General features: G+C 49.8%; 3 protein-coding genes across 7 annotated transcripts in view, besides 2 other annotated features; 1 reads left to right on the top strand and 2 right to left on the bottom strand.

The window, feature by feature from the left end:
• Positions 1–1,566: 1,566 nt before the first annotated feature.
• Positions 1,567–9,382, bottom strand: C1orf226 (chromosome 1 open reading frame 226). Of its 2 annotated transcripts, NM_001135240.4 has the most exons (3): positions 9,348–9,382; positions 6,161–6,488; positions 1,567–5,197 (listed from the first exon to the last, which is right to left on the bottom strand). In NM_001135240.4, exons 2-3 carry the CDS (start codon positions 6,475–6,477, stop codon positions 4,696–4,698), a joined length of 819 nt encoding a protein of 272 aa, NP_001128712.2. In that variant the 5' UTR covers positions 6,478–6,488; positions 9,348–9,382; the 3' UTR covers positions 1,567–4,695. The 2 variants fall into 2 exon arrangements, with proteins under 2 accessions (NP_001128712.2, NP_001078844.1); NM_001085375.2 differs by lacking the exon at positions 9,348–9,382 and having other exon boundaries at positions 6,161–6,651.
• Positions 5,706–6,000: a silencer, noted in NCBI's record as "tiled region #12682; HepG2 Repressive non-DNase unmatched - State 15:Elon". NCBI's record gives its function as "represses a minimal TATA promoter and a strong SV40 promoter by Sharpr-MPRA in HepG2 cells {active_cell/tissue: HepG2}" and the evidence as "EXISTENCE:reporter gene assay evidence [ECO:0000049][PMID:27701403]".
• Positions 9,383–11,524: 2,142 nt separating the features above from the next.
• SPATA46 (spermatogenesis associated 46) lies at positions 11,525–15,176 on the top strand. Of its 2 annotated transcripts, NM_182581.4 has the most exons (3): positions 11,525–11,691; positions 12,976–13,089; positions 13,763–15,176. In NM_182581.4, exons 1-3 carry the CDS (start codon positions 11,589–11,591, stop codon positions 14,329–14,331), a joined length of 786 nt encoding a protein of 261 aa, NP_872387.2. In that variant the 5' UTR covers positions 11,525–11,588; the 3' UTR covers positions 14,332–15,176. The 2 variants fall into 2 exon arrangements, with proteins under 2 accessions (NP_872387.2, XP_005245160.1); XM_005245103.4 differs by lacking the exon at positions 12,976–13,089.
• Positions 17,904–27,671, bottom strand: part of NOS1AP (nitric oxide synthase 1 adaptor protein) — a 300,785-nt gene continuing 291,017 nt past the window's right edge. For 2 of the 3 annotated variants that reach the window (NM_014697.3, NM_001164757.2), the window contains exons 9-10: positions 22,810–22,975; positions 17,904–21,327 (exon numbers count right to left, since the gene is read on the bottom strand). In NM_014697.3, the coding sequence (NP_055512.1) occupies positions 20,912–21,327; positions 22,810–22,975 (582 nt within the window). In that variant the 3' untranslated portion in view covers positions 17,904–20,911. Of the gene's footprint in view, positions 21,328–22,809; positions 25,397–27,671 lie in introns of those variants that run through there. The other variant, NM_001126060.2, reaches the window with a different exon arrangement.
• Positions 20,677–21,176: an enhancer, noted in NCBI's record as "H3K4me1 hESC enhancer chr1:162336993-162337492 (GRCh37/hg19 assembly coordinates)". NCBI's record gives its function as "activates a minimal SCP1, AML or CMV promoter by ChIP-STARR-seq in naive H9 embryonic stem cells {active_cell/tissue: H9 hESC(naive)}" and the evidence as "EXISTENCE:reporter gene assay evidence [ECO:0000049][PMID:30033119]".

Below are 27,671 nucleotides of genomic sequence, written 5' to 3'. Positions count from 1 at the left end.
ACATACCCTGTTAGCATAGCGCCCGGGAGGGCAGGTATGATGGCACTCCCATCCATTCAGAATGGAGAAAGAGGACCGCGTGTCACTTTTCCACCAACGTCACCACAGTCCCCTAGATAGCACTTAGTGCATGGCAGGAAGGGGCTTGGATATATTGTCTGAATAAATGCATCTTTGTCCCCCAGATTCTAGAACAGTGACTCAGCGTAGAGCACAGCATTAAAAAACATGACATCTGCACTTCCGTTTTCACACTTAAAATTCCCTTAAAAATTTTTTTACACTAGAACTGTTTATACTTGATCTTAGACAAAAATAACGACTTCACATAATAGCGGGAAAGGCATGTTAAAAGCACGTTTCACACCTGAACGACTGCAGCAAGATACCGAAGCCATTCAATGGGAGAGGTTGTCTGGAGTCACCGCAGCATACTTATAAAGAAAAAAGTTGCTATCGTAAGCATTTTCAATGCCTTTTCCCAAAACATGGAGGATTGGTTTTTGTGTTTTTCCTGCTTTCCCTGGACGATAACGCCGCAGCCCACTGCAGAGACAGCGAGCAACCTTTGAGATCACAGCTGTTCTTTTCTTGCCCCTCTGCTGAGAAACAAAGTGTGGGAGTGGAAAAAAATGCAGAAAACGTTAGGGACTTAGCCTCAAGCCTGAGACGCCTCTGACATGGAGCCAGGGAGCCCCTGCATGCGGAACTGTGGAATCCAACCCCAGGCATAGTCACATCTGCACGTGAGAGGGCTGCGCAGAAAGGCCCCATGTTTCCCTTTGGAAATGTGCGTGGCTTCTGTGAACAGACTGAACGCCCCTTTCCTTTCCTGTTTTTCCCCCATTTCCTTCCTTTTAAGGAGGATAAAGGCCTGGCCAATTCTCAGCTGTGTGGGTCCTCTGGATCCTTGGATCTGACACTGGCCCAGGGGCAGCAAAGGGGCAAAGGGACTCCAGGCCAGCTCTTCTCTGAGCCACCTTCTCTCCGCAGGTGAGCAATAAGAATGTCCCTGTCCATGGGGGGCCCTTGGGGGCAATCTCCCAGGAAGTACCTAAGTCCAAATCACTGACATATATTGATGACTCTCTTTGAGAGGCTGATAGAAGCTCTGGTTCCTCTATGGAAGAACGTGCATACATGAATGTGAAGCTTCATCCCTTTCTTGGTGGAAGAGGGCTTTGGACCCAGGTAAAGAATGAGTGTCCTAGAGGATGATCCAAAGGCCATGTCCGCTTATCCCCACTTCCTCCCAAGGAGGGTCGTGCCTGTGCACATCATGATGGCACATCCTGAAACAGTGATAGGTCGGGTTGGCAGAGGTACCCCCTCACAGCCAGCCAGCCAGGGGAGCCAATGATGGCACATCCTCAGAAGTCATTTCCCCGCCAAGGGTTCAGGCTGGAGGTGTCGGTAATGCCCATCTTCCTCACATTCTACCTCCCTCATTTCTCACTTTTCCAGGCTTACAAAGGAAAATGCCAACATACTTCAGCCAACAAGTCAGCCTTGAGGAAACCAACTGCTCCCCATCAGTCAGGAGGAAAAACAGACAAAGCCAGCAAACCAAACCAAATCATTTTATTGTGCAATTTCCTTCTACCAGAAAATTACTAAAAATATAAATATTAACTCTCTAAAAAATACTCAGAATAGATCTGTAATCTTCCTCCTCCTCCTCCGAACTGGAGCCAATCTTCTTCTTTAAACGCTGATGGATTGCATACATGTATGTCTTCCATATCAGCCACATACACAACATTCAGATACACTTCCCTCTGTGCAGGGGGATACACCAGCCTCCTGCCAGGTTCTGGAAGCTCACCTTATAATCTACCAGGATACAGCTGTGTGCTGAGTAGGAGGTTATGGTGGGGTTGGGGAGTAACAAGGAGATAAAAGACCTTGTGGTCCCAACTTCCTTATGTGGACAGAGAAGATAGGTCCTTTACTCCTCCTCATTACCCTGCCCTCTCATGGACTGGGCTAACTGAAGGCCAAGCTCCCAGAGAAGCTGGACTCACTGTGCGGGATTACTGAGGGTGTGGCTGCCAGGCTACAGTCACAGGAAGGCCAGACTGTTGAGATGGACATGGAAACCAGGTGAGGCTTTGGATGGAAAGCTGGTCTGGGCCAAGGCCTCTGCAGGATGAGTAGTAGCTGTTCCTGCTGGGCTTTGGGCAGCCCCTAGACCCTAGCACCAGGTACTATGTGCAGCATCTAAGACCAGACACCAGTCTCAGAGAGCCTCCCGAGGTAGCAGCAACATCCCTGCAGCAGGGGGACGGGCAGGTTGTAGGCAGTTAGATTGGAGCAGGGTCCCATGGCACTGTATTCAGTATCAGACACAGGTCTGAAGAACTCTGGGGTCACCCTGGCAATGGTCCTGGACAACCTGGTGGGATCCTTTTGCTCATCCTGGGTCTAAGGTCCTGGACTCCAGCAGCAGCTGGGCTATAGAGTGGAGGCAGGGTACTTAAGAAAGGCTGCACCTGCAATACCTGTACCTATGGCTGCCATATCATCGGGCCAGAGCCGCCCTGGGCTCCAGGAGAGGAGAAGCCCCAGAGTGCAGGGGCTTGCTAGGTTTCCCATCAAAGCACAAACCATGCTCCTGGTATGGGAAGCTCAGATGAAGTGGCTTGCTCCCAGGATGTGTGTTTGGGGACTCTATCCCTATCCTCAGCTCTGGTGTTTTGTGTGATACCCCAAACCATTCTGGGAACACTCAAAGGACCCCGAATGCTAGTCCTGAGACCTCCTCTCTGACATCAGGGTCAGATATCACATCCTTAGAGTGAGAAAGAATGTACACGTAAGCCCTGCTCACTCTACCAGGGCCTGCAGGTGCCCTACTGCAGTGACTCCTACGAGGGAGGGGAGACAGTTTGTGGTGAGCACGTGGTGAAACCTGGCTTTCTGGGAGAAGGAAGACAATGGAAGGCAAGGTAGAAGGGAAAGTGGTGGGAGGGCCATGGCAAGGCCACACAGCTGCAGAAGCAAGCATGCAGGAAGGAACCCACATCCTAGCAATCCTGCTGAGGCTCCTAGTTGTGTAGGAGTTAGCATGGCCATTTTATATGGCAGTGGTGGTGGGAAGGGGAGCAGAGGCTTGGAGATGAGAAGAGCTGGGAAGCAAGCCCTGGGTATCCCAGAGCTTATGGGTGGGAAGCCAAACAATGAATAGAACAGGGGAGGCCACAGGAATCCCAGGAGGAGGATGCCGCACCGCCTGCCCTGGCCGGACGTGCCATTCCCAGCCTTCTCCCAGGGAACCGGCCACCTTGTTCAAGAAAAAGAACGTTCTCCTCTTGCTGCAAAGAGCCCCAGAATTAGGATCACCCCCTTACAGGATCTGCTGGTCACAGGAAGACAGCACAATAGGCCCCTGGTGGGAGACCTAAAAGTGGGTTGCAGGAACCAGTTAAGGCTGGATGAACCTGGTCAGTCCCTTACATGGATCCTGAAGCAGGAAAAAGCCCACCAGCATCAGCATAAAAGAAAGGCAGGCAAGGGCAGGGCGGGGCCGCTCCAGTGAGGTCCAGAGCTGCAGGAGGCCCAGGCAACTTCAGCACAAGCACAAAGCACTTCCACTTAATTAAAACTGGTTTCCCCCCACAGTTCTTCTCACATTCCAATCTTGTACATGCTTCATTCTGGCTCTCACAGCAGGCCCAGGCCCTGAAACGGCATTATTTTAGGCTGCAAGGTGGCCCCTGAAAAGCTGTTCTGATCCCCAGTGGTCGCTCTTCTCTGTCCCATCCTCACTCCCTTCTCCCTGCTTCTGCTCTGGGTTTTTAGCACCAGCTCTGAATGCCAAGACCACCCCCAAGTTCCTGGGCCCTCCCCACAAAACCAAATCAGAGTGTGCTAGGCCGCATCTGCTGGGGCCTGGCTCTCCCTGTCTTCACACACTCAGCAAGAGAAGCCTGATCTTTCCTTCCGTGCAGAATGCCCACATTTTGTGTTCGACATCTGACCAGATGGGAGAAACCTTGGGAACCCTGGGTGGCAGCGTTCAAACCCTGGGTGAACTCTCAAGGTCTCAGGCCTGGTAAGCATCTCCTCTGGCCTCCACCCCAGGGGCAGAGCAAACATGGCAACCAGGGGCCTGCACTGTCCTGGGACCAAGAGGAGCTATGGCTGGGCTGTGGTCAGGGTGTGTGGCTTTCTAGGCCATGGCCTGTCATCAAGCCAAACACATCATTCCTCATCCAGCCTTCCTCCCGCTGAGGCCAGGGGCATCGGACCCATCAAGGAGGAGAGAGAAGGGACAGGGGTGTGGGAGGGAGAACAGCAGGGGAGGAGGCGCATGTAGGGGACAGGCAAAAAGAATTCCTGTAAGATCCATTGTCCTGAGCTGGTGGCCCTGCAATTCACTGAGAAGACAGGACAAGCTCAAGAGTGGAAGAGCTCTAATGTCCAAGGGCTGCAGCCCACTCAGAGGAGGTTACAGAAAATTAGGCTCAAAACGGCATCAAGTCCTTCAGCCATTCTGCGGATAGACTCTTTAACTAGAACTACTCAAGGACTTCCAGTCCTGCAAAATCCCATGATGGACGACTGGCTCTCTGCTGGTGCCTCATACAAGGAAGACAAAGGGCACAGCGGAGTTGAGGCCAGGGCCAGTGTGCGCAGTGGAGGAGAAAGCAGCAGGAAGACAAGGGCAGAGCTCAGCAGGAAAGAGCAGAGGCTCTATTCAAAGGACAGCAGGTCTGGGTGAGGGCCCTCATTGTCGAGGCTGGAGGTCCGTGCCTGAGGAGGGGGGCTGCCATCCTCCCAGGACTCAGCCAGGCTGATGGGGCTCAAGCTGAGTTTGAAGCCATTCCTCTCGATAAGGCTGGGGGAGGAGGCCCTTCTGCACTCAGTCATCTTTAGCTTGGATTCGTCCTGGCTATCCTTGTGGATTAGGTCAGGTACTGACAGGGAAACCTCTCCATTGGGCAGAACTTTGCCTCTCTCTTCTCTTTCCATGGTGGCCTCTGGCTGTGAAGCGTCTGCTGGGACGTCAGGCTGGGCAGTGGGAGCGGAGTCCTGGGCCTGCCCAGGTGATGGCTCTGTCCCATACTCCAGACTGCTGAGGACAGGCTGTGATGAAATCAGCATGTCCTGGGTGGTCTTCAGGGCCCGAGGGGTTCGCTTTCTGGTTATGGGAGGTGGAGGATCCAGCCGAGGAAATGTTTCTTGCAGGACTGACCTGTAAGGTTAATGACAATAAACACACATGCCTTAAGGACAGCAAGACACCAATCCACCTGCCATCTTGCTTCTCCAACTCCAACTGCACTTTCAACCCACCCCACCCAATAACTGCTCTACTCCTTGGGCTCTGGTTCTTGGTTTGGCACATAGGCCTTAGCAATTTCAGCATAACAGTAGCTTTTGGCCTGGTCCATGCTTACTCAGTGTTCAGAGCAGCACAAAGTGCTGGCCTCTAGAAGACAGGATAGAGACCGCTGGTGAAGCTTGTCAAATCAGAACCCAGGCAGTAAGTCCTGTGTTTAAAACAGGGAATGTGAGGGCATTCCCACCTCAGATGCACAGGTGTTTAAAACAAGGCCTGGAAAGAGCCTGTTGGTAGGAGGGGGAAGAACAGGAGGGCTGCTACAGGGGGCTTCTCCCACTGTGCCCTAGTGGGCTGTGACAGGTGCAGGCTTCTCCACAAGCAACAGTCTACGGCAGCGCTTCTCAGCTATGGCCGGGCATCAGAATCTACCTGGGGACCTTCTGGGCAATAGCTGGGTTCAAATCCAGCTCTGCCAAGTACTATCTTTGTGACCTCAAGCTATTTACTTTGTCTGTCTGAACGTGAGTTATCTGCAGGATGGAAATATCATCTACCTCCCAGGGCTGCTGGGAGGGTTAGACAAAATGATGCAACTATAGCCTGCAGCACAGAGCTGAGGACATGGTGTGCACTCAGCAACCTTCAGCAGCACAGAGCCGAGGACATGGTGGGCACTCAGCAACCTTCAGCTGTGGCTGCAGAAGGTGAAGCCAGCTCCCGAGAACGTGGCCTGATCCTGCAGCTTTTCAGTACAGGACAATCTCACACCCCTCCCTTGGGGCTGTTCTCCTGTGCAGACACTGCAGTTTGTCCCTGTACCTTTTCAAGTGGGTCCACAGAGGGGCATGGATGTTGGGCGGGTGAGGGGCTCACCTTTCATCCTCTAGCCAAGCCTCTGGAGCCGCGTCAGTCCCACTGGCCAGCTGTGCTCCTGCAGTCTTGTTGATCTCTGTCACACCCACACTGCCCAGGCTGGAGGGCTCCTTTCTCCTCAGGAAGTCATTCACTTTGGCCCCCATGGCTTTGCCCAGGTTCTTGAGGTGCTGGCTGCTGCCCACCCAGAGTCCTGGCCCCCCAGGCTCACCAGAGCCCAGAGGGGCAGAGCCGGGGGCCACGGGCTTGGACAAGTGGGGGAAGGAGCGGCTGGCCTGGAGCTTTGGAGTGAGGGCTGTGTTCAAATTCTCAAACATGCCGTGGTCAACTATGAACAAAGAGGCGACAGAGAGGCATGATGAGGAAAGGGGAGCGGTACCTGTGCTCTATCATTCAGTTTTTCCTTATCCCACACCCAAAACCTGTAACTTCCAAGGCTTTGGAAATATTCAAGAAAGAGCCAGCAAAGACACTCTTGAACTTTCCAGTGTAGTTTTCTTGATGGGACAGGAACTAGAAATTCTAGCTCTGCCCCACCCAAGTTAATCAGTGACTAATGCTAGCCATAAAAAAATAAAGTTGTTCCTGTAAACCTGCCTCCTTGACTCATGGGCTTGGCCCCTTTACCTTGGAGTCACCACGCCCTTTGGAGTAAAGAAAAAATGAGGATGAAGCAATGAAACATGACATTTTTACATCACCGTAAGCACGTGCTGAGCTCTCAGTGGGTTGGAAGCTGGTGGAGGGATGGCATGGATGAGGCTTGGTGTTAGAAGCTCCCCACTGAAGGCCATGAGTATAGCACATATTCTCCACAAAAAATGGGGCAGCAGCTCCTCAGGTCTACAGAGGTGGGCCTTGAGCGAGTGGGCCAGCTCTTGCAGAGGTGCTAAGTGGTGGTTCAGAATCAGTTCGTACCAAATGGATAGGAACTCGGTGCCAGTGAAGCACGAGGATCCCAATGAACATCAGCTTACTTAATCCTTACAACCACCTAGGGAGGTGGTACATGGAAGGATATCTACCTACAGATGAAGCCTGCAGGACTCCGCGTAATGCAGTGCCGTGCCTGAGGTCACACAGCTAAATACTAGCAGGGCTGGAGCTAGAACTCAGGCCTTCTAACCCACAGCTCAGGGCTCTGTCCACAACTTTGCCCTGCTATAGATCATGGAACAGCTGCCTATATATGCCTGGTACATGGTCCTTCTTGTAGGGATCCTCTTTGGCTTGAAAAATTAACTCAAAGAGCTGGGTATAAACCCATTAGGTTGTAAAGATTTGCAAGGCAGAGAGCATGCCTCATTCATCTTTGTATTTTCAACACCTAGCCTGGGTTTGGTACCTAGCTGTGCTCAATACAGATCTTGAATCGCCAAAACCCATTTTGTAGATAGAAAATTGTGGTGGCCAAGGTGGTAGCTTAAAGGTTTGTTATTGAAATGACTGGAGCTCCAGGCTCTAAGCCATGCTGTCCACACACTCACACTTGGCCATCCTCTCCCTATCTGGAAATCCAGCTCAGTCATCAGGCAGCCAGACCCACTCTGAGGCCTTGGAATCTGGGTCAAGGTTTCTGTCTACACCAACTACCCCAGATATGTTGTCAGTCTGAGGAAAGGAGATCGCTCGATCATTTGATGACTAGGCTCCTTTCCTTGTGAACACCTCTGCTAAGTGTCTATTTTCACTGAGCCTCTTCTAAGAGTAACTGGGGTTAGGGTGTACTTTTTCTTCTGCTGAATTTTTGTGTAAAGCAGTTCTTTCTGCCCTGCACTGCTGTATCCCGGGCCAGTGAAAACCTTTCTTGTGGTTTCAGTGGTGCTATCCTTTCTAGGCCAACTACCTAGGTATGCCATATTCTAAGGGCCTTTGGGTGGCAGGGAGGAAAACCTGTGGGAAGTGAAGTGGAGACTACTCTCTGCGGATGAGCCCTGTGGCCTGCACCACTGCAGGGTGAGGACCTGCCAGGGAACAGCATGACAGCATCCCTGGGACACAGGGCCCAAGCTGGCTGGGCTCCAGATAGACCCACCACACCAGCAGAAGCTTCCAGCCCGCTCCACAGCAAGCAGGGTCATCAACTCCTGATGATTCTCCTAAGTGTGTATCTTGCCACATCATCCACTTTGGCACAATTTGCCTGTCAGGTCCCACATCCTTCTTATTTTCTTTAATCACGTCATCCGCAAACTAGCAAAGAAGATTTGGAAACCAAACCATTTAACTATTTCCCCCCAAACCAGAAAGTACATAGACAACAATGAAACTGTACGAAATGCCCGGGGAAGGCAAATTGCCACCACTTCCCAAATCAGACATTTCCCTGGTGGTCTCCTTATTGGTTTAAAGTGACTTTTCAGAGCAGACATACTCGTTTTTAAAAAGGCAAGCACCAAAAACACCTGTCAAGGTGATTAGTAAATTATAAGCTATTATTATTTTTAAAACACTCTTTGTAATAAACAGAACTCTGGATTATGCACCATTTTGGATTTCCTGTATTTTTTGCTCTCTACCCTTCATAACATAGTCTATAACGCACTGAATTCTTAAGTAATGTAAAGATAGCCTACCATGCACTCCCTTTACCCTTGTCTAAGTCTTTCCAGTAAATACACCTTGTCTTAAAATGGTAAGGTCCTTGAGGGCCATAGCTCCTGAAGTGTTTCTTTATCTTCTACAATGCCCAGCTTAGGGTCTTGCACGATAGTAGGCATTTAATAAGTTTGTTTAATTGAATTTGACTTTTATATGAATTCTTAAAAATTGCATGATGGACTGACATTGTAGGGAAACTGCTCACAAGTCTTTTTCCATTTATAAAAACCACTCAAAACTCCCTCTATGGGAGTGGTCTTCAGGGGCTCTTGAGGTCAGACCCGGATAACTGCCCTTCTATTCAAAGTGAAAGTGGGGCTCTGGCTGGGGGGTCCCTTTATCCCTATGTCTGAGGATGTGCAATGGGTCCCTTTCTTGATGATGACGCTAATGACCCCCACACATTATCTCTCTTGCTTCAGGACTAGAGGCTTGATGGTTCAGAAAATAATGGCAATGGAGGACAGAGAGATGACTGGACCCCAGCCAGGTGGCCCTCCCAACAGTACCCCCCAACATGCACACACCCAAGCAGAGGAGGGCATCTGGGGATGTAAGTCATCCACAAAAAAACAGGATATCTTACCTGTCCGAGAAAGGGGCTCGGAAAGCAGGTGGGAAACAAACAAAAGAAAGACACATTTTACGTAGTGACCAGTCACTTTGAGAGTGTCACCTCCTGCCTGGGCCACCAGCACCAGCATACCTCGGGGGGACACAGCACACAAGACAGGGGACCTGCTACGAGGAGTGGTGTGCACCCTGGAACCGCCAGGCTCCCACAAACTTTTCAGTGACTAAACCAAAACCGGGTCGCATTTTAAAAACTCTACACAGGCACTGAGAGATTCTGCCTCCCATATTTCCCCCCAGTATTTTAAGCTCCCTTTACTTTAAGTCTGAGGTTGCAGTGGGAGAGTCTGAAGTTGGCAGTCGGAGAAATGTGATGGGTCAAGACAGAATGCAATTCCAAGTCCTCGGGGTCCTGTGTGCATCACTCACAAGTATGCTACTGTCCACATGTCAGTCACTGGGTTTTAGCCAGGAAGATGTTCATCCATTCCAGTTTAGAGTCTAAACTAATAACATGGGTAAACCAAGTAGCAGAGAGATTTGCCCAATATCACACAGGTAGCTCATGGCGGAGCAGGGTTAGAAGTCACATAAGCTGATGCCCAGACTCATGAGCTTTCTCTACACCATAATGGACCAAATGAAATTGCTGATACCCCCCAAACTGCCAAAGTATGTGGCTTCAACTTACTTTCCAATACATGCTAATGTTCCAAACCAGGCTATCTGGGAGGAACACGAGGGGAATCATGTTCTCCCATTGTCCTTCGAATGTTTCAGTACCGTGAATAAATACACACAGGAAGACAACTCTGGGCTCTCACGTGCAGAAGCTAACTCACACCTCACTCACACATGCTCGACAGCACTGCAAAACAAGCCCATCACTATTTCCAGAGCGGCCATAGCTCCCCATGCAGCATAAACATACCTGCCATCTAGATCTGCAGCCCTGCTCTGTATCTAGTTGACATGTTGTGATAATCTAGAAAGGGGTGTCTTCAGCTTATCTTCCAAGTGTCACAATCATCTTTCACCTTATTCCACACCTCGTTAGTGCACAAGGTTGTTATAGGACAAGCGAAACGAAGAGGCAACCTTGCCTCTCTGGAGTCCCAGAGTCTCCCCATCAAACTGACTTAAGCAATGAGCAAAATAGTATTGAGTAAGCCACCCATTTGTGCTTTAGTCACTTGCTAAAAAGAGCACCAACCACTGAAAACAATATTTGGCCCCTATTCTTAGGAAATACACATTGAAGTACTTAGGTATAAAAGGACATAGTGTTTATAACTTACCTTCAAATAGTTCACAGAAAAAATTAAGTATATACACATACACATGGGGCAGGGGGCAGGAGGAAGGGGACGGATACAGCAAATGGGGTAAAATGTTAATAGGAAAATCTGGATACAGGGCATAAGGGTGTTCTTTGTATTGATTTTATTTTTTGCAGCTTTTAAGATGGAGTCTCGCTCTGTCACCCAGGCTGCAGTGCAGTGGCGCTATCTCAGCTCACTGCAGCCTCTGTCTCCCAGGTTCAAGCGACTCTCCTGCTTCAGCCTCCCAAGTAGCTGGGATTACAGGCACCCACCACCACGCATGGCTAAATTTTATATTTTGAATAGAGATGGGGTTTCACCATGTTTGTCTAGCTGGTCTTGAACTCCTGACCTCAAATGATCCACCCGCCTTGGCCTCCCAAAGTGCTGGGATTATAGGCCTGAGCCACTGCACCCAGCCTAATTTCTGCAACTTTTACAAATTTGAATTTCCAAAGAAAATGTGAAAAATATATACACCTCAAAAAACAAACTAAAACAAAACAATAAAAATATTTGCTGACAGAGATTAGGCTGATAAAGGAGAAGAAAAGGAAGGAGATTATTCAGACAGGACAGAGGTTTCCAGGGCTGGAGGGCTGGGGGTAGACAGTGTCAACACAGAAAACTGATGATAACAAAGATAAAAGGGGACAAATAGACAGCATCACTACAGTATCTCTACTACATTCTTCTCTCTGGGTATTGTCAATCAGGGCCTGCCACTGGGCAATGGCAAGTCAAATACAATCTTTACACATTTTAATCTTGCTTTCAGTAGACTCCATTCATCTTCCAAAGGGTAACCTAGTTGGTAGTGGAATCATGTGCCTTGTGACATCAACTGTGCTCAGAATGTTTATCCTCTGGACAAACCAGCCAGCCTCTCCAGAGCAGGCGTGTGATCTCTGTACCCCCGCAGTGGTCAGAATATGGAGAACTTCTCACTCCTCAGCATCTCTGGACCTCCAATCTCTTCCTCCGCCCTGAGTGCTTTTCCCGACATTATGTTCTCTCGTGCCACCAGCCTGCCAGGTAAACTTTGGTGCCACTAGGGCCACAAAGATGTGGTTTTTTTTGAAGCTTTTAATTGAGTACCCTACCAGATCATGTTACAGGACCATGATTTAGTGAGAAAGTCAAATTACGCATGGGGAGAAAATAATTTTTCAAAATGCTGCATTTGTGGTAAGTAGTTACTGCTGTGTATTGATTTTTGGTAAGGGAAGAAAGGGGAAAACTTTTTTTTTTTTTTTGAGACAGAGTTTCACTCCTGTCGCTCAGGCTGGAGTGCAATGATGTGATCTCGGCTCACTGCAACCTCTGCCTCCTGGGTTCAAGTGATTCTCCTGCCTCAGTCTCCATTTATCATCAAGTTTTTCCCCCTAGATTGTGCATGAAATCTCAAGGTGGCAGTATGTCTACATAGAGTAGAAACTAGTTTTAGCTCTGTTTTGACAAGTTTGGAGAGGATTTGGAGTTAGCCAAATCAGAGAAGCCTAAGCAGCAGCGTAAACTGATGAGCACATCATGGAATAAAGTTGGACACCCTGAGGACTCCCTGTTCAAAATACGGTCCTTAGACTTGCAACGTCTGCATCGTCTGGGAGCTTGTTAGAAATGCAGAATCTCAGGTTCCCACCCCAGATCCACTGAATCAGCATCTGTGTTATTAACAAGATCCCTAGGGGATCTCTATGCACAGTAAAATGGAGAAGTACTGCTCAGTGGAGTAGGCCTCCTAAGCATCCATTTGTCTACATATATGACATTTATAAATTTGTCCCCCAAACTGAACACAGCTGCTATTCTGGGATTTGAGGCAGGTCAGCTTTTTGTCCAAGTGTTAGCACTCCAGGGTGTGCCGTGCAGTGATGGCCCACGGGAACCCTGACTGTGGGTATGAGATGTTTCAACTGGACAATCCTCAAAGCGGGCATGGAACATTGCTCTGCAGCCTGTGACTCTGGGTCCCAGGATGCTCAGGAGACTGGCAATGCGGAGTGAAGCCATCCGCGTGATGAGATGCAGGAGGGTTAGGTGAGGGGCAGGCCAGGCGGAGAGGTGTCATCTGGGCTACATCATAAATCCCACTTTCCAGAGGATCTTTCTGAGGCCTGAATGAAATGGCCCCATTCAGAATTCCCCAGGATGTCATCCAGAATAGCTCTGCCTGGCTGAGTTTGAGAGGTCACTGTTCTGTTTCAGCGTTGAGATGCCTTGAAGTACAGAGGTTGAGCCCCTAGGTATGCCTGGGGGAGTCCCAGAAAGTGGAATCCCAACCTTGCTCAGCTCACCAGTGTTTCTTCTATAACCCAGACATTGCAAAGACAGCAGTACCCACTGAGGCATCCAGCCCAGCTCAGGCCCTGCCACCCCAGTACCAAAGCATCATTGTCAGGCAAGGGATACAGAACACAGCGCTCTCACCAGGTGAGGACTTCTCTGACTCTGGGCGGGAATGTGTGAGAGGCTAAGGATGAAAAGGGGCTGCTTCCCTAAGGAAGCAGAGGTGTCTGGAAGCTGGACCCCCATGCGCGGTCTTGTCACCTGCAGCCTCCTATCTGGCCCTTCTTCCTTTGGTAGACACCCACAGGCCTGGGGCTCTCGCCTTGCCTCCCCTCTCCTGTCTCTGAAACTGGTGTGCAAGAGCAGTTTCTGGCTGAGTGGGCCGTGGAGGGATCAAGATGAGCAGTGAGGCTGAAAAAAGGGTCACAGCCATGGGTGGCGAAAAGAGGGACTGTGGGAGGCCGCCGGTTTGGCTATCCGCTGGGTCACCTGTCTGTGTCTATCCTTAGAGGAGTCAGTGGACATGGTGTCTCCAGGAGGGGAAGGCCTCGACAAATACCAAGGCTTACCAACTAAAAGCAGCCTCTCCTGCCCCAAGATCCAACGGCCCTTTGTACCCCTAGAAAAAGAATGCAGTGAGAAGGAATGCCCTCGGCTGCTCTTACCACTGTCTTGCGTCTGCTCTCAGAACTGCAATCGTGGTGGGGTGGAGGTAACCGAGGTCATGCCTGATGTTTGCCTTCTTACCTTTCTGCTCCAGCATCCTTGGCTCCACTGCTCCCTGCCAGAGACTCAGACCTGGTCCTTTCCTTTGCAGACTGCAGCTTGGGGGATACCCAGCACGGAGAGAAGCTGAGGCGGAACTGCACTATCTACCGGCCCTGGTTCTCCCCCTACAGCTACTTCGTGTGTGCAGACAAAGAGAGCCAGCTGGAGGCCTATGACTTCCCAGAGGTGCAGCAGGATGAGGGCAAGTGGGACAACTGCCTTTCTGAGGACATGGCTGAGAACATCTGTTCGTCCTCTTCCTCCCCAGAGAACACTTGCCCTCGAGAAGCCACCAAGAAATCCAGGCATGGCCTGGACTCCATCACATCCCAGGACATCCTAATGGCTTCCAGGTGGCACCCAGCACAGCAGAATGGCTACAAGTGCGTGGCCTGCTGCCGCATGTACCCCACCCTGGACTTCCTCAAGAGCCACATCAAGAGGGGCTTCAGGGAGGGCTTCAGCTGCAAGGTGTACTACCGCAAGCTCAAAGCCCTCTGGAGCAAGGAGCAGAAGGCCCGGCTGGGAGACAGGCTCTCCTCCGGCAGCTGCCAGGCCTTCAATAGTCCTGCTGAACACCTTAGGCAAATTGGCGGTGAAGCCTACTTATGTCTCTAGAGAGATGCCAATAAAGTTAGTCACAGCCTTCTGTCCAGTCTGAGGTCACCCCGCACAGCCTGCTGTCCTTCCCAGAACCCGGCTCTCATCACCTTTGGCTAATGGTTGCCTAGCAACACCAGGCACACACCCTCCCCTTTCTCTCTTTTAAAAATAAAGACAATACTTGAAGTTTGGGAAAATCATCTAAGATAGAGGTTCTCAAAGGTGCCCAGCTGGCAGTACCAGCAACCCCTGGGAACTCTCAGGCCCTCCTCAGACCTACTGAATCAGAAACTATGGGTCTGGGGCTGGCGGTCTATGTCCTAACCAGCCCTCCAGGTGACTCTGATGCAGCTCAGCTGTGAGAAGCACTGCTCTAGGATTCTGGCCTCTGCTTGGTCCCTATGTGGTCAGTCCTTGCCCCACCCTGGGAAGAAGGGGCTGGATGCCCTTTCCTATTTGCATGGGGAAGAATCTCTGCAGTTTTAAAGGCTTCTTTGACGGTAGATCTTCTGAGGGGGGAATGTGGAGGAAAATATGCCTCTGAGTATAAGGCAGGTAAGAGGCAGATGGGGCTGAGCTCACCCGGGACTGAGCTCTCAGGCACTACCATCATTCACTTAGAACAGCCATCCAGTGCTGGGGCAGAATAGAATCAGTTTTGACCCAGGAGACGTCTTTTCTTGGCTGCTTTGAGCCAGGTGAAAATAGGCAGGTAAACATGGGAACCTATTGCTTCCTGTTACCAAGTAATGTGTCCAGTGGGCAGCCCTGACTCTGCCTCCATTTCTGAGTGAACCTCCTGGTCCATCTGACCCAGAAAGATGGATAAGCATCAGGGATGCAGCAGAGACATCTATCTTGACTGTAATGTGGTTTTTAAAAAGCACCAAATGCTTGCTGGTCATCCTTTCAGGCCTCATTTACCTCTTGCTTTATCACCCTGATGACTCAGTAGCCCCTCCACTGCAGTGGGCACTGCCTTGCAGGGACCCTGGCACAAACCCCCGCCCTGGTCTTTGCCTCCCTCAGGGCTTGGCCAGCAGGTGGTGTGGAGGGTCCTCCCTCACCTCCCAAAGGCTTTTCCTCCAGAGTCTTATCTGTGGCTTAGCAGAGCTGCTCTGCTTATCAGTGTGCTGCTAAAACCTCATTTGTGGTCGTTCCCCACAGAGTGGGAGGGAGGCTGGGCTCGATCCCCATCGCATCATGTGCTGTGAGACCACTGCGGCCCTGTGCCCTCGAGCCATGCTTCTCACCCCATTCTGTCCCCAACCCCACCCAGCCTGCATCCCAAAGTCCAATTGACTGCCAGGCTCCAGCTGGGCTGGGATCCAGGACAAGGTCACAACCTATCCAGTCCAGTGTGCAGAGGTCTCCAGGCAGCCCTGACATCACTCCCAGGACCCTGTGCCCTGAAAGGGCAGATGAGTGGCTCTGGGCAATCTTTTTAATCCTCACTCCGAGCTACTGTTGTCTCTGTCCTTTGCCAACCCCATGCTCCCTTCTCTATGGCATCTGTACAACAGGCATAGAACATATCACGAGAAGGAAAACAAGCAGGCCAGGGACTGAGCCCAGGTGCCATGGCACGTGCCCATCCCGCCTGCCAGGTGCTCGTGGTTAGTGTCTTCTCCCTAAAGACAGGGCGTTTTTCACATTCCACATTTAATGTTGTATCAATGTAACCCCAGGAATTTTCTCAGTACAGAGCTAAGTTTTAGCAGAGCAGGAAAGAGCACCCAGCACTGTACTGAGCAGCACAGGTGCAGGCAGAAGGAAGCTCCCTAAAAGGGAAATTGTTCTGTACCCTGGGTCACTGCCAGGCACTCTCTACTGGGTGCTTTTAAAATACAATCTCATTTACTTTCCATAGTAGCTTTGTGTGGTTTATACTATCCCCATTTTCGAGATGAGAATACAAAACTCAGTTCAGTTCACTTAGCCAGAAAAGAACAGAGAGCATGTGAACCCAGTTGATCTAACCTTTTCAACTTTCTCTCTAGCCTGGGCCTGACGAAGCCATCAGGCCTAACACATCCTCTGCCTGCAAAATGGCTAAAAGTTCCAGCCAAAGTGACCTGGCTTTTCTAAAGTCTGTTCTGTGTGATCCCACAGCTCCTCATTCCTCAAACACTCCCTCCTTTACCAGGCTCCTCTGCCCTTTCATTTGTACTCCTTGCAGGGAAGCCTACATTCCCATGAATCAGGACTTCTGTGCTGAGCTGTGTCATAGTGATACCATGATCCCCGCCGAGGTAGGTATGAGGAGGAGCCAGTTTTGTCCCCAGTATGAACATTTCTGGAATGGGCCTATTCAGACTTCTACCAACTACATATTTCAGGCATTTAGTCATGAAGTCCGTGAAATAGTATAATCTTTTTTTTTTTCTTTTCCTTGAGACAGGGTCTCGCTCTATCATCAAGGCTGGAGCGTGCAGTGGCATGATCTCGGCTCACTGCAACCTCCGCCTCCCAGGCTGAAGCCATCCTCCCACCTCAGCCTCCCAAGTAGCTTGGACCACAGCCACTCACCACCATGCGTGGCTAATTTTTATGTTTTTTTTTTTTTAGTAACGGTCTTTCCCCATGTTGCCCAGGTTGATTCAAACTCCTGAGCACAAGCGATCCACCTGCCTCGGCCTCCCAAAGTGCTGGGATTACTGGCATGAGCTGAATAATCTTGTTTATACAATTACACAGTTATATTGGCAAATATCTATGATGTAGTAATTTTTCAAGCACTCAGAACTTGATGCTGGCCAGGTGTGGTGGCTCATGCCTGCAATCCCAGCACTTTGGGAGGCCAAGGTGGGAGAATTGCTTGAGCTCAAGAGTTTGAAACCAGCCCGGACAACATGGCGAAACCCGTCTCTACAAAAAATAGAAAAATTAGCTGGGTGTGGTGGCACACACCTGTAGTCCTGCTACTCAGGAGGCTGAAGTGGGAGGATCATGGAGCCCAGGGAGGTCAGGGCTGCAGTGAGCCATGATCATGCACTCCAGCCTGGGCGACAGAGTGAGACCCTGCCTTAAAAACACCTGAAAAACAAAAAGCCCTGAAACCCAAAACCAAAAAAACCAACTGGCTGCTACTACCCACATATTCTAATGATATTTGGAGTTTGAAAAAACCTGGGATTGGCAGAGTCGGCAAAAATGGGTGTAGACGAGTTTCCCAATCTCAGGACTACTGACATTTGGGGCTGGATGATTCTTTGTTGTGGGGGGCTGTCCTGTGCATTGTAGGATATTGATCAGTATCCCTGGCTTCACTCACTACATGCCAGTAGCTTTGTGACAACCAAAAACATTTCTAGACATTGTCAGATGTCCCCTGGTGAGGAAAAATCAGGCCTAGTTAAGAACCACTGATACCTCTGATCCCGCAGGGCTGATCTATATAAAGTGCAAATGAAGCCACCATCTTCCTCTCCTCCTACAGGGAACTTGTGAATCTTTCCTCAATCCCATACCCTTGGGAACCATCTCACAGAGCTGATGCCACTTGGCTTGGGAAGTGGGGTGGAAGTGAGGGGGAGAGAAGGAGCAGGTGGAATAGAAGCAGCAAGAAAAGACAATGGAAAAGCTTCTAGAAATAAGAAAGGTTTATTTAGCAAAAGCCACTAGACTAGTGACAACATCCAGGGAGTAAGTGCACTTACATTAACAGAATCTTTTCCCAGAGAGTTGATCCAACAGAGTTAATGACACAACAGCTTTAGGAAGTAGAGTGCTAGTGGGTAGAGGGTTAGGAGGAAGCAGTCAAGCAAAGAGTAAATAAAAGGAATACAACGCCTAAACAAGATCAGTTGAGAGAAATGAGGCTAGGAAGAGGTTTTACAGAGAGAGCATTGATATAAGCAGGAATATAAGGAATATAATTTTTAATCTCAATATACAGTCCATCCAGTGCAGAGAAATTCTTTCCTGGCTCCATAACTGTGGGAGCCTCCTGTGCACGAGAGTCTGCTGGCACCTGGGGTAGGCTGGGGCAGGCACCAATAAGGTTAGCACCCCTGGTGTCCATTTGTCCTCCATATAGGGCAGAGTAGAAGAATGAAAAAGAGGAAGGCAGAGTTGAGTTAGCAGAGCAAGAAGCAAGGAGGGAGGACAGGGTGACATCGTCGGGAAATCAGGTCTGCAATGTTCCCTTTCCTGCCCAGTTGGCCCTGATGGAGGGTCGGTGGCTGGTGATCCTTCAAGGCTCCTAGATCTGTCCTTTGTCTCCCATCTCCACACACCAAGTATGCGCTGGTTTGGGTCCACTGGGGAGGATACCAATACACAAACTAGTCCTCCAGGGAGGGCCTGAACTGGGGAAAGGGTGGCGCCCAGGCAGGAAGAAACCACCATGGAACACCCCAAGGGCAGGAGTCTTGGATGGGTCCCAAAGTCAGCAACACAGATAACTAGTTTCTCCAATTCTTTAATTTCTCCATTTCCTTTCGTCTATCCAATCTCAAGTTTTTACAGGCCATTTAGAAGCGGCCTTCCTCACCCACTCCCTGGCCACATCCCACACAAGCCCTCTCCATCCACATTCCATACACCTAATCCACTGGCCTCTGGCTTTATCCTCAGCTCCGGCTTACGTCAGAAAACAGACTTTTCACTCCTCTGGACGTTCAAAATCTTAATAATCTAAGTGGTCTTGGACTCAGGGAACCCTGGGTTAGATTTCATAAGCTAGGTAGGCTCAGCCACACTGGATTCTGACAGCTGCTCATTTAGTTTCATGGATCTCACTTTCCTGGTTCTTCCTTCTCTGTGTAACTGTACCTATTTCCAATGGCAAATTAGATCAAAACAAAACAAACAGAACCATGCCTCTCCAACTAAATGCATGTTAGAAAACACAAATCTGTTGCTGATTCAAACACCCTGGAGATCCTCGTTCTTTTCCGTCTGGTTACAATCCTACATATATGTACACACTTTCCCTCACACATGTATATATAAACACATGTGTACACACACACACAAAACACACACACACACACCACCTGATCCTATTTCCACTGACACCCTGATGCACCAAGGAAGGCTAACATAAAACTGAATTTATTTCCTTTAATTTGGACTTTCTGGGCTACAAGAAAACCAACTGTGGCCATTAGAAGAGGACTGCACTTTTATTTATATATAATCTAAAGGAAAGCTAGGGTCGATGAACTCCATTTTGGGATAATCATATCCTTGCCGATTGACCCTCCAATAACACTGCAGTTTGCATCTGTACCTTGTTGTCTAGGATAAAGACTTAATTCCCCGAACATATGACTCTAGCAGGTCTCAGCAATCTCTTCAGGCATTTGAAAATCTGTTAACAGCCACTTATGGCCTTACAGGAGCAAAGGAGCTTTTCCTCATTGCCCCAGCCAGCCCGTTAAGGAGTAGTGATCCCTAGGCAAAGCCTAGATCATAAAAGATAAGACAATTGCACATGGCACTTTTTATATGTGTGCTCAAGGCACGCACGCAGAGAGATGGGCCAAGGGTGGCAATGGCTGTGGTCCCTGACCCAAGTGGCAGTGATTCAGAAGAGTGGACAAAAACAGTCTCACAGTCTCAGCTATCAGCTTGCATTCATTCTTTTTTTTCTTTCTCTTTTTTCTTTTTTTTTTTTTGCAGTAAAAACTGACCACCACTGCCCAGTGGAGGGGACAGGTTGAGAGGTAAGGCTGGGGGCTCTGGTCCTCTGGGGCTTTCAGAGAGGTAAAGTGCTGCAAAAGCTTCAGCTGGACAGGACACAGGGGAGGTGAGGGGCAATTCCCAGCTTCCATTTAGATGGGCTGGGCTACAGGCAGGAGGAAGGCAGGGCAGGACTTTCAAAACAGGAATCAGATCTAAGTGATTTGGAGCAGCAGACAAGCTGTCCTCCCCCTGGGCTCTCACACCAAGGGCCTGAACCATGTTAAAGCTTCAAGGCTCCCTTTGTAGCAACATTCAATGTCCGGCTGGAGAAAATGTTTGGATTCAGTTCCTCTAAAAGCTTATCCACTGTGACACATTCCAATTCCATGCTCACCCTACAAGGACTAGCCTGGCTTTTGCGGTCCAGAGCACTCAATCTCTACAATCTCAGCAAGGGCCTGGAGAAGGAATTCCTCTCATAAAGGTAGGGGGAGGGTTAGGCAACTCGCAGCATCGTGATATCCAGAAACAAAGTACCTGAGAAGGTACCGATGGCTTCCCTTCCTGGTCGGGACCATGGAGACGGGGAGAGTGAGGGGGTAGGGGGGCATCACGGACAAAGCGTGGGAGCCTGACGATGCAGCAGGTAGGGGCAGGTCCTCCAGCAGCCTGGCAGTCCTGGAGAGAGACCCTCTCCTGAAGCCATGGGCTCTGGAAGGCCTTACCTCCACCACCCTCTAGTCACAAGTAGGAGAGGAGCTGATTCACCTCTGGGAATCCGATTTCTTCCCCACTTTACCCTCCAAAGCAGAATCTCAATACTTTCCTGAAACCTCACACTCTCCCGGGCCCTGGCTGGCATTCTCCTCGGCAGTGCACATTCACTGGGCATCCCCTACCCGGGCAGCAGCCAGACACGGCCCCTCCAGCCACGCCGCCGCCTCCATCTCCTCGCCCTCGGCACCTACACGGCGATCTCATCATCCAGGCCGTCGCCCAGTTCCTGCCTCTGCAGGACATTCAGCAGGCGCGGCAGCTCCTCCTGGGACCACGAGTCGCGCTCCTCGCTCTCGTCCGTGTTGGACTCGTACTCCGAGGCGATGCCTGACTCTCGGAACTTGATGAGCTCCAGACCGCCCAGGAGCGCCTCGCCCTGCGCTGGGGGCGGGGTGTCCTCGGGCGGAAGAAAGCGAAAGCACTCCAGCTTCACCAAGCAGTCGCGCCTACCTAAGGGGCTGCCCGCAGGGTGGGCAAAGTCAGCCAAGCCCGCGCCCAGCGGCGGCGAATGCAGGTCCTCTGGCTTAGGGGTCGTGGGGTCACAGAGCACGGGCAGGGCTCCGGAGCGGAAGGTGATCTCCAGCAAGCTGTCCTGGGAGCCCACTGCAGGGGAGACAAGAGGTAGCAGAGGGGCAGCGTTAGGCAAGGTTGTTGATTTGGGATGCCCGCCTTCTGCCCGCCCGTGCCCTGCCAAAGCCCTTCCCAGACCAGCTTAGCAGCACCTCTCCGGGCTTTGGGTCTCTTAACACTTCACCCTTCCTCCCGCCCCCACATAGCTCCAGACACACCTCGCTGGAGGGGAGGAGCTTTGGGACGTGGTAAAGGCGGGGACATAAGAACCATATGATGGTTCTGGTAGCCACTGAAGGCTCTGAATAGGGTTAGTGGTAGGAAAAAGGTACCAATTGAGAGAACCATGTTAGAAGCCTGTGGTAACCTTTAGTACAATCATGTAAATAAGCATTAATTAGGATAGAGCAGAGTTTCAATGAACAATCTGGAAAATCCAGAGAGGCTTCCAGAGTGGTGAAGGGCACTGGTTTCCAATCCACACCTCTGGGCTACTTTAAAAATACAGGCTCCCAGACCAGCCCTAGACAGAACGATGTAGGATCTCAGTAGGAAAGACGCATTTTTAAAAGAGCTCATGGGATGGTTTGGGGGAACCACTGGTATAGTTGGAACAAAATTTTGCAATCAGATCTAGGTTTGAATCTTGGCTCTGCTCCTTGCTAGGCCTATAACCTTGAGCTAGTTACTTAACCTCCCTGAGTCTGTTACCTCATCTGTAAAATGGCATCCCATTTTTCTGCAGCAGAACTACAGGGATTAAATGAGCTCACAGGCAAAAAATTCTATCACAGTTTCTGGCACAATATGTGATCAATGGCTATTTGCTGGTCCACAGCCCACACACACTCTGAGCATGCAAACAACCCACGGAAAGGCTCAAGAGGAAGGCGTGAAAATGTGTTGCGATCTACAGCTGCCCAGCCCAGCCCAGGGGTACTGAGTGTAGAGACAGCTTCTCAAGCAGGGGCCAGGCAACCTCTGCTATTGCCCAGCAGAGCAGTGCAGCCAGATTCCACTGCCTTATCCACTGAACAGATATACTGCTCCCAGCTTTTTCTGTGTGACAGAGTCTTGAAATACATAGTGCAGAGTAGTAAACTAAGAAACAATCTGCTGTCTCCCACAGAGCTCACAGAGACCATGACACCCAATAGGTGCCAAGTATACTGTTTGTTGATTGCAAAAGCTCTCTGAGAAAGAAATGGGCTGCCCTAGAACACAGAGTACCTGAGCCCCTATCAAATAGAGACTGGATGAGCACATAGCAGTGACTCCGGGGACATTCAAAGTCCAGCCCTGGGCCTGGATTAGAAGGCACCCGAGATCTCCTTTGGGCATGTGATTCTGTAATTCATTAAGTATACTAATGGGAAAACAAAGCTGCCTATGTTTTCTGCTGGAATATAGGGGTAGGTCAGGGGTCCAAGAAAGCACCACCAAAAACTTAAGGAAAGTGACACTCTTTCCAGAGCCTTCACAGAGGAAGCAGGGCTGGGCAGGGCACTGGCTTACTGGCGTTCTGTCCTGACAGCTTCAGTTCCAGCTCTTGCACCTGCTTGACCAGCAGGGAGATGTGCTGGAGCATGTCCTTGTTCTGCAGCAAAAGCTGATGCACGCGAGCCTGGGCCTCCAGCCGCGCCGCAGCCTCAGCAGCCAACTGGTCCTTCAGCAAGTGTACCTGCAGAGAAGAGGCAGCGGCAGAGAAGACAGGACAGAGAGAAGAGAGGGACATGAATGCACATGAGAGTCACTGGCAGATGGCCGGGACCAGAGATGCCCTCCACATTCAGTTCAAGAAGAAGCCCTTCACGGGCAGCATGGGCATCTGGGCTTATCATTCCAGAGGAGGAGCCAAAAGGAGTGGGTTCACTGGCACTGCGAAGCTGTGTGTCCTAAGGGAGGGCCATGATGCATCACTAAGGTACCCATACCAAGGGCAAGAGGCAGGAAAGAGCCATCGACCCTCTAGACCTGCCACACACACACACGTACACACACACGTGCACATATACACACACACACGCACGGTGCTCCATCCCTGCTTAGAGAACTCCTTCAGCACCTAGCATGGCATGCCATGTTGGAGGTGGAAGGGGGCACTCTCTTCTCATCCTGTCTTCTAAAAAACAAAACCAAAACTCATCTATTGACCCACTGGCTAAGAACAGTGTCACAACGAAGCCCATATAATCTTTCTCCCTCTCCCACTCACCCAAACATAGTGAGAAATAGGAAGCACTACACATGGCTTTTTAAATTAGTGAGGCAGCTGTCATCAAGCCACTCTGTAGGCGACAGCTTCTTTCCCTGTCTTCCTTTTTTATTTGCTATGGCAGACATCTAGGACCATGATTCATACCACATATTACCAGGACCACCTGGTAGGGGTCAAACATTTGCTGACTGATTCATGAGAGGGCCTCCTCCAACCAGCCCAGAAGGGCTGAGGTGAACAATTTGTGGCACCCTCATCAGTTTCCAACCTTCTTAAGGCAGAGCAGTTGGCAGCAATGCATTCAGCATGCTTGAGGCCCAGTGGTGTCAACAGCTCTGTTCTTGGTGAGCAATACTTATGTGGAGATAAAACTCAGTGGGAGGAGACAGGGGCAACCAGACCAGGACCCTGGTTTGAAGAAACTGAGTTAGAAGGCCAATACCAGTGTTCACACATATGTGATTCTTGTGCAAAGAAGTGAATAAAGAGTTCTCCAGGGAGCATTTCAGAAGGCCCCTGAAGAAAGGGAACTAATGAATTTTTATGGCCTGGACCAATGTAGCTTATGGGGAAAAGGGTGTTCTTGTACCAAAACCATGGTGTGGGTAAAGACAGAGCCAGGTGAGTGGGGGCAGGAGAGGTGGGACGAGGATGCAGGAAGATGGATGGGGAGTCAAAAGCATTAGCTGATTCCCTTGCTCAGAAAACAAGTGCTCAAATTTCTGAAGAGGAGTTTGCTCCAAAGAGATTCACATTTTTTTAGGGAGTAAAGGGCAGTGCTACCTCACAGTTGGCCACCCTTGGCCAAGTGACTTGCTGGCCCAGGGTGTGCCCCTCCCAGCAACCAGCACTCAGAGAATTACACTTGTGGATACCGTGGCTGCCTCCCTCTTGCCCAGATTGGAGGCCCTGACCTTGCCGTTGACCCTATTTCTGATTGAGTGGAGCCACAGGGGCATAATGCCTAAGGAATTTAAACTAAATCTGTCCTCCATAAAGCTGCTAAGGACAGAACTGATATTTTGGTCAAGAAGTCAGACTCATTTTTTTGTCTCATATTAATTGAGAGAAGATCTGGGGAGGGGTGAGAACAGGTGTGATACAGTGAAATACATGTTTGGTCTTCATCCCTGTTTCCTGACATATAGCTCCCCAAACCCTTGAGATCTCCAGAGTGGTAAGAGTGTTTTTTGTATGCTTATTAGATGATTAGTGGTTGGGGAACCCCTGGAAGCTTCGGGATGGGGGCTGCTCACAGGACAGACCAAGGTATGATTAGAGGATAGGATTTTTCAGTCCCACGCCCCAACCTCCAGGAGATGAGGGGCTAAAAGTTAAACTAATCACCAGTGGCCAATGATGTAATCAATCATGCCTACATAATAAAGCCTCCATTAAAAACTCAAAAGGACTGGGTGTGGGGAGCTGCCGGGCAGCTGAACATTTAGAGGTTCCTGGAGGGTGGTGCACGTTGGGAGGGCATGGGAGCTCTGCCACCCTTCCCACAGACCCTGCCCTATGCATCTCTTCCATCTGGTGTTCATTGGTATCCCTTATAATATCCTTTAAAATAAACCAGTAAATGTAGGTGTTTTCCTGAGTTCTGTCAGTTGCTCTAGCAAATCAGTTGAGTCCAAGGAGAGGGTAGTGGGAACACCAATTTATAGCCACTTGGTCAGAGGTGTAGGTGACAAACTATTACTTGTGATTGGTGTCTGAAATGGGGGAAAGTCTTGTGGGATTGAGCCCTCAAACTGTGGGATCTGATGCTGTTTCCAGGTAGATAGTATCAGAATCAAACTGAGTTAGAGGACACTGTGTGCCCTCTGCAGAACTGCTTGCTTGCTTGGTGTGTGGGAAAAAGCCCCATACATTTGGTCATAGAAGTATGTTGTGACAGTATAGCAGGAAGAAACTGAGTTTGTTTCTTCCTATATCCACTCAACAGGGAAAGAAATGTCAATAATATTGTAATCTGGATGTCAGATGGTGGGTGGCTATTAAGGTTTTCTCCTCTTTGGAAAGGGAGGCATGGAGAAATTTCAGCTGGGGGTCCCCCAAATCTATTTGGTTCTAAGGAACAGGACAACTGCTATGGGAAGCCCACAGATAAGCCTCAGAGAAGGGTAAGCTTAATCTTGCACTTATGAGTACCGTTACTTATCCCAACAAAGAGTGGCATCGAAAGGAACCTACTGAGCAAATAAAATTACTAAATTATTCATCTTCCATTTTCTTTGGAACCAAACCAACCAGAGAGAAATGTGGAACAAAGTCTTTCAGCAGATATAAACAAAGAAAGTAGAGAATCCTGCATACCTCTAACTGGCACTTATTGAGGGCTCTCTGCACACATACTGCAGAGTCAGTTTCTTTTCTTTTCTTTTCTTTCTTTCTTTTTTCTTCTTTTTTTTTTTTTTTTGAGACTCACTCTGTCACCCAGGCTGGAGTGCAGTGGAATGATCTCAGCTCACTGCAACCTCTCCCTCCTGGGTTCAAGCGATTCTCCTGCCTCATCCTCCCAAACAGCTGGAATTACTGGCGCCCGCCACCACACCTAGCTAATTTTTGTATTTTTAGTAGAGACGGGGTTTCCCCATGTTGGCCGGGCTGGTCTCAAACTCCTGACCTCAAGTGATCCACCTGCCTCGGCCTCCCAAAGTGCTGGGACTACAGGTGTGAGCCACCATGCCCAGCCCAGAGTCAGTTTCCTGCTTTCCAGTCTGAACATCCCAACAGGACAGGCCATTTGAATGCACCAGACCAGGAGCTGGAGTGCTTGTCTGTTGGGTACTCCCTAGGCAGTTGTAGACAACTCACTTCTCTCTGGACCTCAGTTTCTCCATCTGTCAACCGAGAGGACTGGCTTGAGGCTGAGACAGTTGATAATTCTACATCCAGGTTGACATTGTGGTCAGTACTGGAGGCAATTTGTTAATGGCTCATTGAAGAAAACTCTCAGTTCCCCATTGTGAAGTCAGAATTAGAATTGAGGGTGAAGGAAAAGTCCCCTCTTACAGAAGCCAGGAAAAAAATTGAAAGCTTTTTTTGCAGGTACCCAAGTTCAATGGTGGAGTACCAGCAATACCTAGAAGAAGACCTTTGACTCAAATGCTTCCCATCGCAGATCCATTGGCACCAAGTGCCATGAGAAAATGCTCCTTGTACCAGATTAAATAAGAGTTTTACCTCTGTAAACCCAGTTACACTATTTCAGGTATTTTCAAGTCCTGTGAATATGTGAGCACCCACTGCTGCTACTGCCTGAGCCAGCACTAATGAGCCCTCTGCTTCTGCAGCTGTCAAAAGTGGTACTGGGCATAAGGCTCAAACCTCAAGCTGTGGCAGGCTGTGCTGCAGGAGAACCCAAACCAGGCCATACTGAGACAAAATAGCCTGGACTTCTTTTAACTTTGAGGTGCAGCATTTTATAACTATGTAGGCTCGAACTTGAAGCACTGAAACGAGGCAGCGTTACGTGAAACCTTGGTTTGGGCAGTCTGCTACAGCCCTCTGTGCTTTGTTTCCCCATTCATACAACAGGGGCAGAGAGCACCACCTCCTCCCCACCAGATGGGATTTTTTTTTTGTATTTAGCATGCTTTTCTTTCAAAGAATTAAGCCCCTTTTGTAAAAGTAGACCATATTTCTTTCTGGAAAGGTACAAATTAGTGTCTCCTTTGCAGAACTGTGTTGTCTTTGGCAATGAATGTTGTACTTACATACTAAGTCAGTGATGTGGCACAGAGTGATGTGACACTACGGCCACGTCCCGAGTGCCAGGGCTCAGATGTCCAGCTCTGCACTCTGGCCTCATCATGACACACAAAAGTTCAGCCCTGCACCCTCCAGCTCTACACTGCTTTCCCAAACTCTGAAACCCACCCTCAACCCACCCAGCCACACCAGACCATTGGCGCCCTCACTCTCCAGCTTACTTGCCTGGACTCCAGCTCCTCCATCAGAAGTGAGGGCAGGGCCAGGCTGAAGTTAGGGAGTAGCAGGCACATGGAAATGGCAGTGGAGAGAACCAGAGCAATTTGCCCCACCACACACTGGACACAGAAGCAGAGGCAGGCGCCGCTGTCTCAGCATGCACATGGCAGGGACTTGGGCAGTGCATGCCAGCGTGCTGGGGACTGGGAGAAGCCACAGGGAC

This window comes from Homo sapiens, chromosome 1, assembly GCF_000001405.40.
Source record: "Homo sapiens chromosome 1, GRCh38.p14 Primary Assembly".
NCBI lineage: Eukaryota > Metazoa > Chordata > Mammalia > Primates > Hominidae > Homo > Homo sapiens.
This window is presented reverse-complemented; position numbering and strand designations above follow the sequence as displayed.

What these genes read in the sequence shown, in the direction of transcription:
- C1orf226 (NM_001135240.4), bottom strand. Translation starts at nt 6,477, where the DNA reads ATGTTTGAGAATTTGAACACAGCCCTCACTCCAAAGCTCCAGGCCAGC. An exon ending in GCTTGGCTAGAGGATGAAAG is followed by an intron (nt 5,198 to 6,160) that starts GTGAGCCCCTCA and finishes TTAACCTTACAG; the next exon opens with GTCAGTCCTGCAAGAAACAT.
- SPATA46 (NM_182581.4), top strand. Translation starts at nt 11,589, where the DNA reads ATGGAGAACTTCTCACTCCTCAGCATCTCTGGACCTCCAATCTCTTCC. An exon ending in TCGTGCCACCAGCCTGCCAG is followed by an intron (nt 11,692 to 12,975) that starts GTAAACTTTGGT and finishes TCTATAACCCAG; the next exon opens with ACATTGCAAAGACAGCAGTA. An exon ending in GAACACAGCGCTCTCACCAG is followed by an intron (nt 13,090 to 13,762) that starts GTGAGGACTTCT and finishes TTTCCTTTGCAG; the next exon opens with ACTGCAGCTTGGGGGATACC.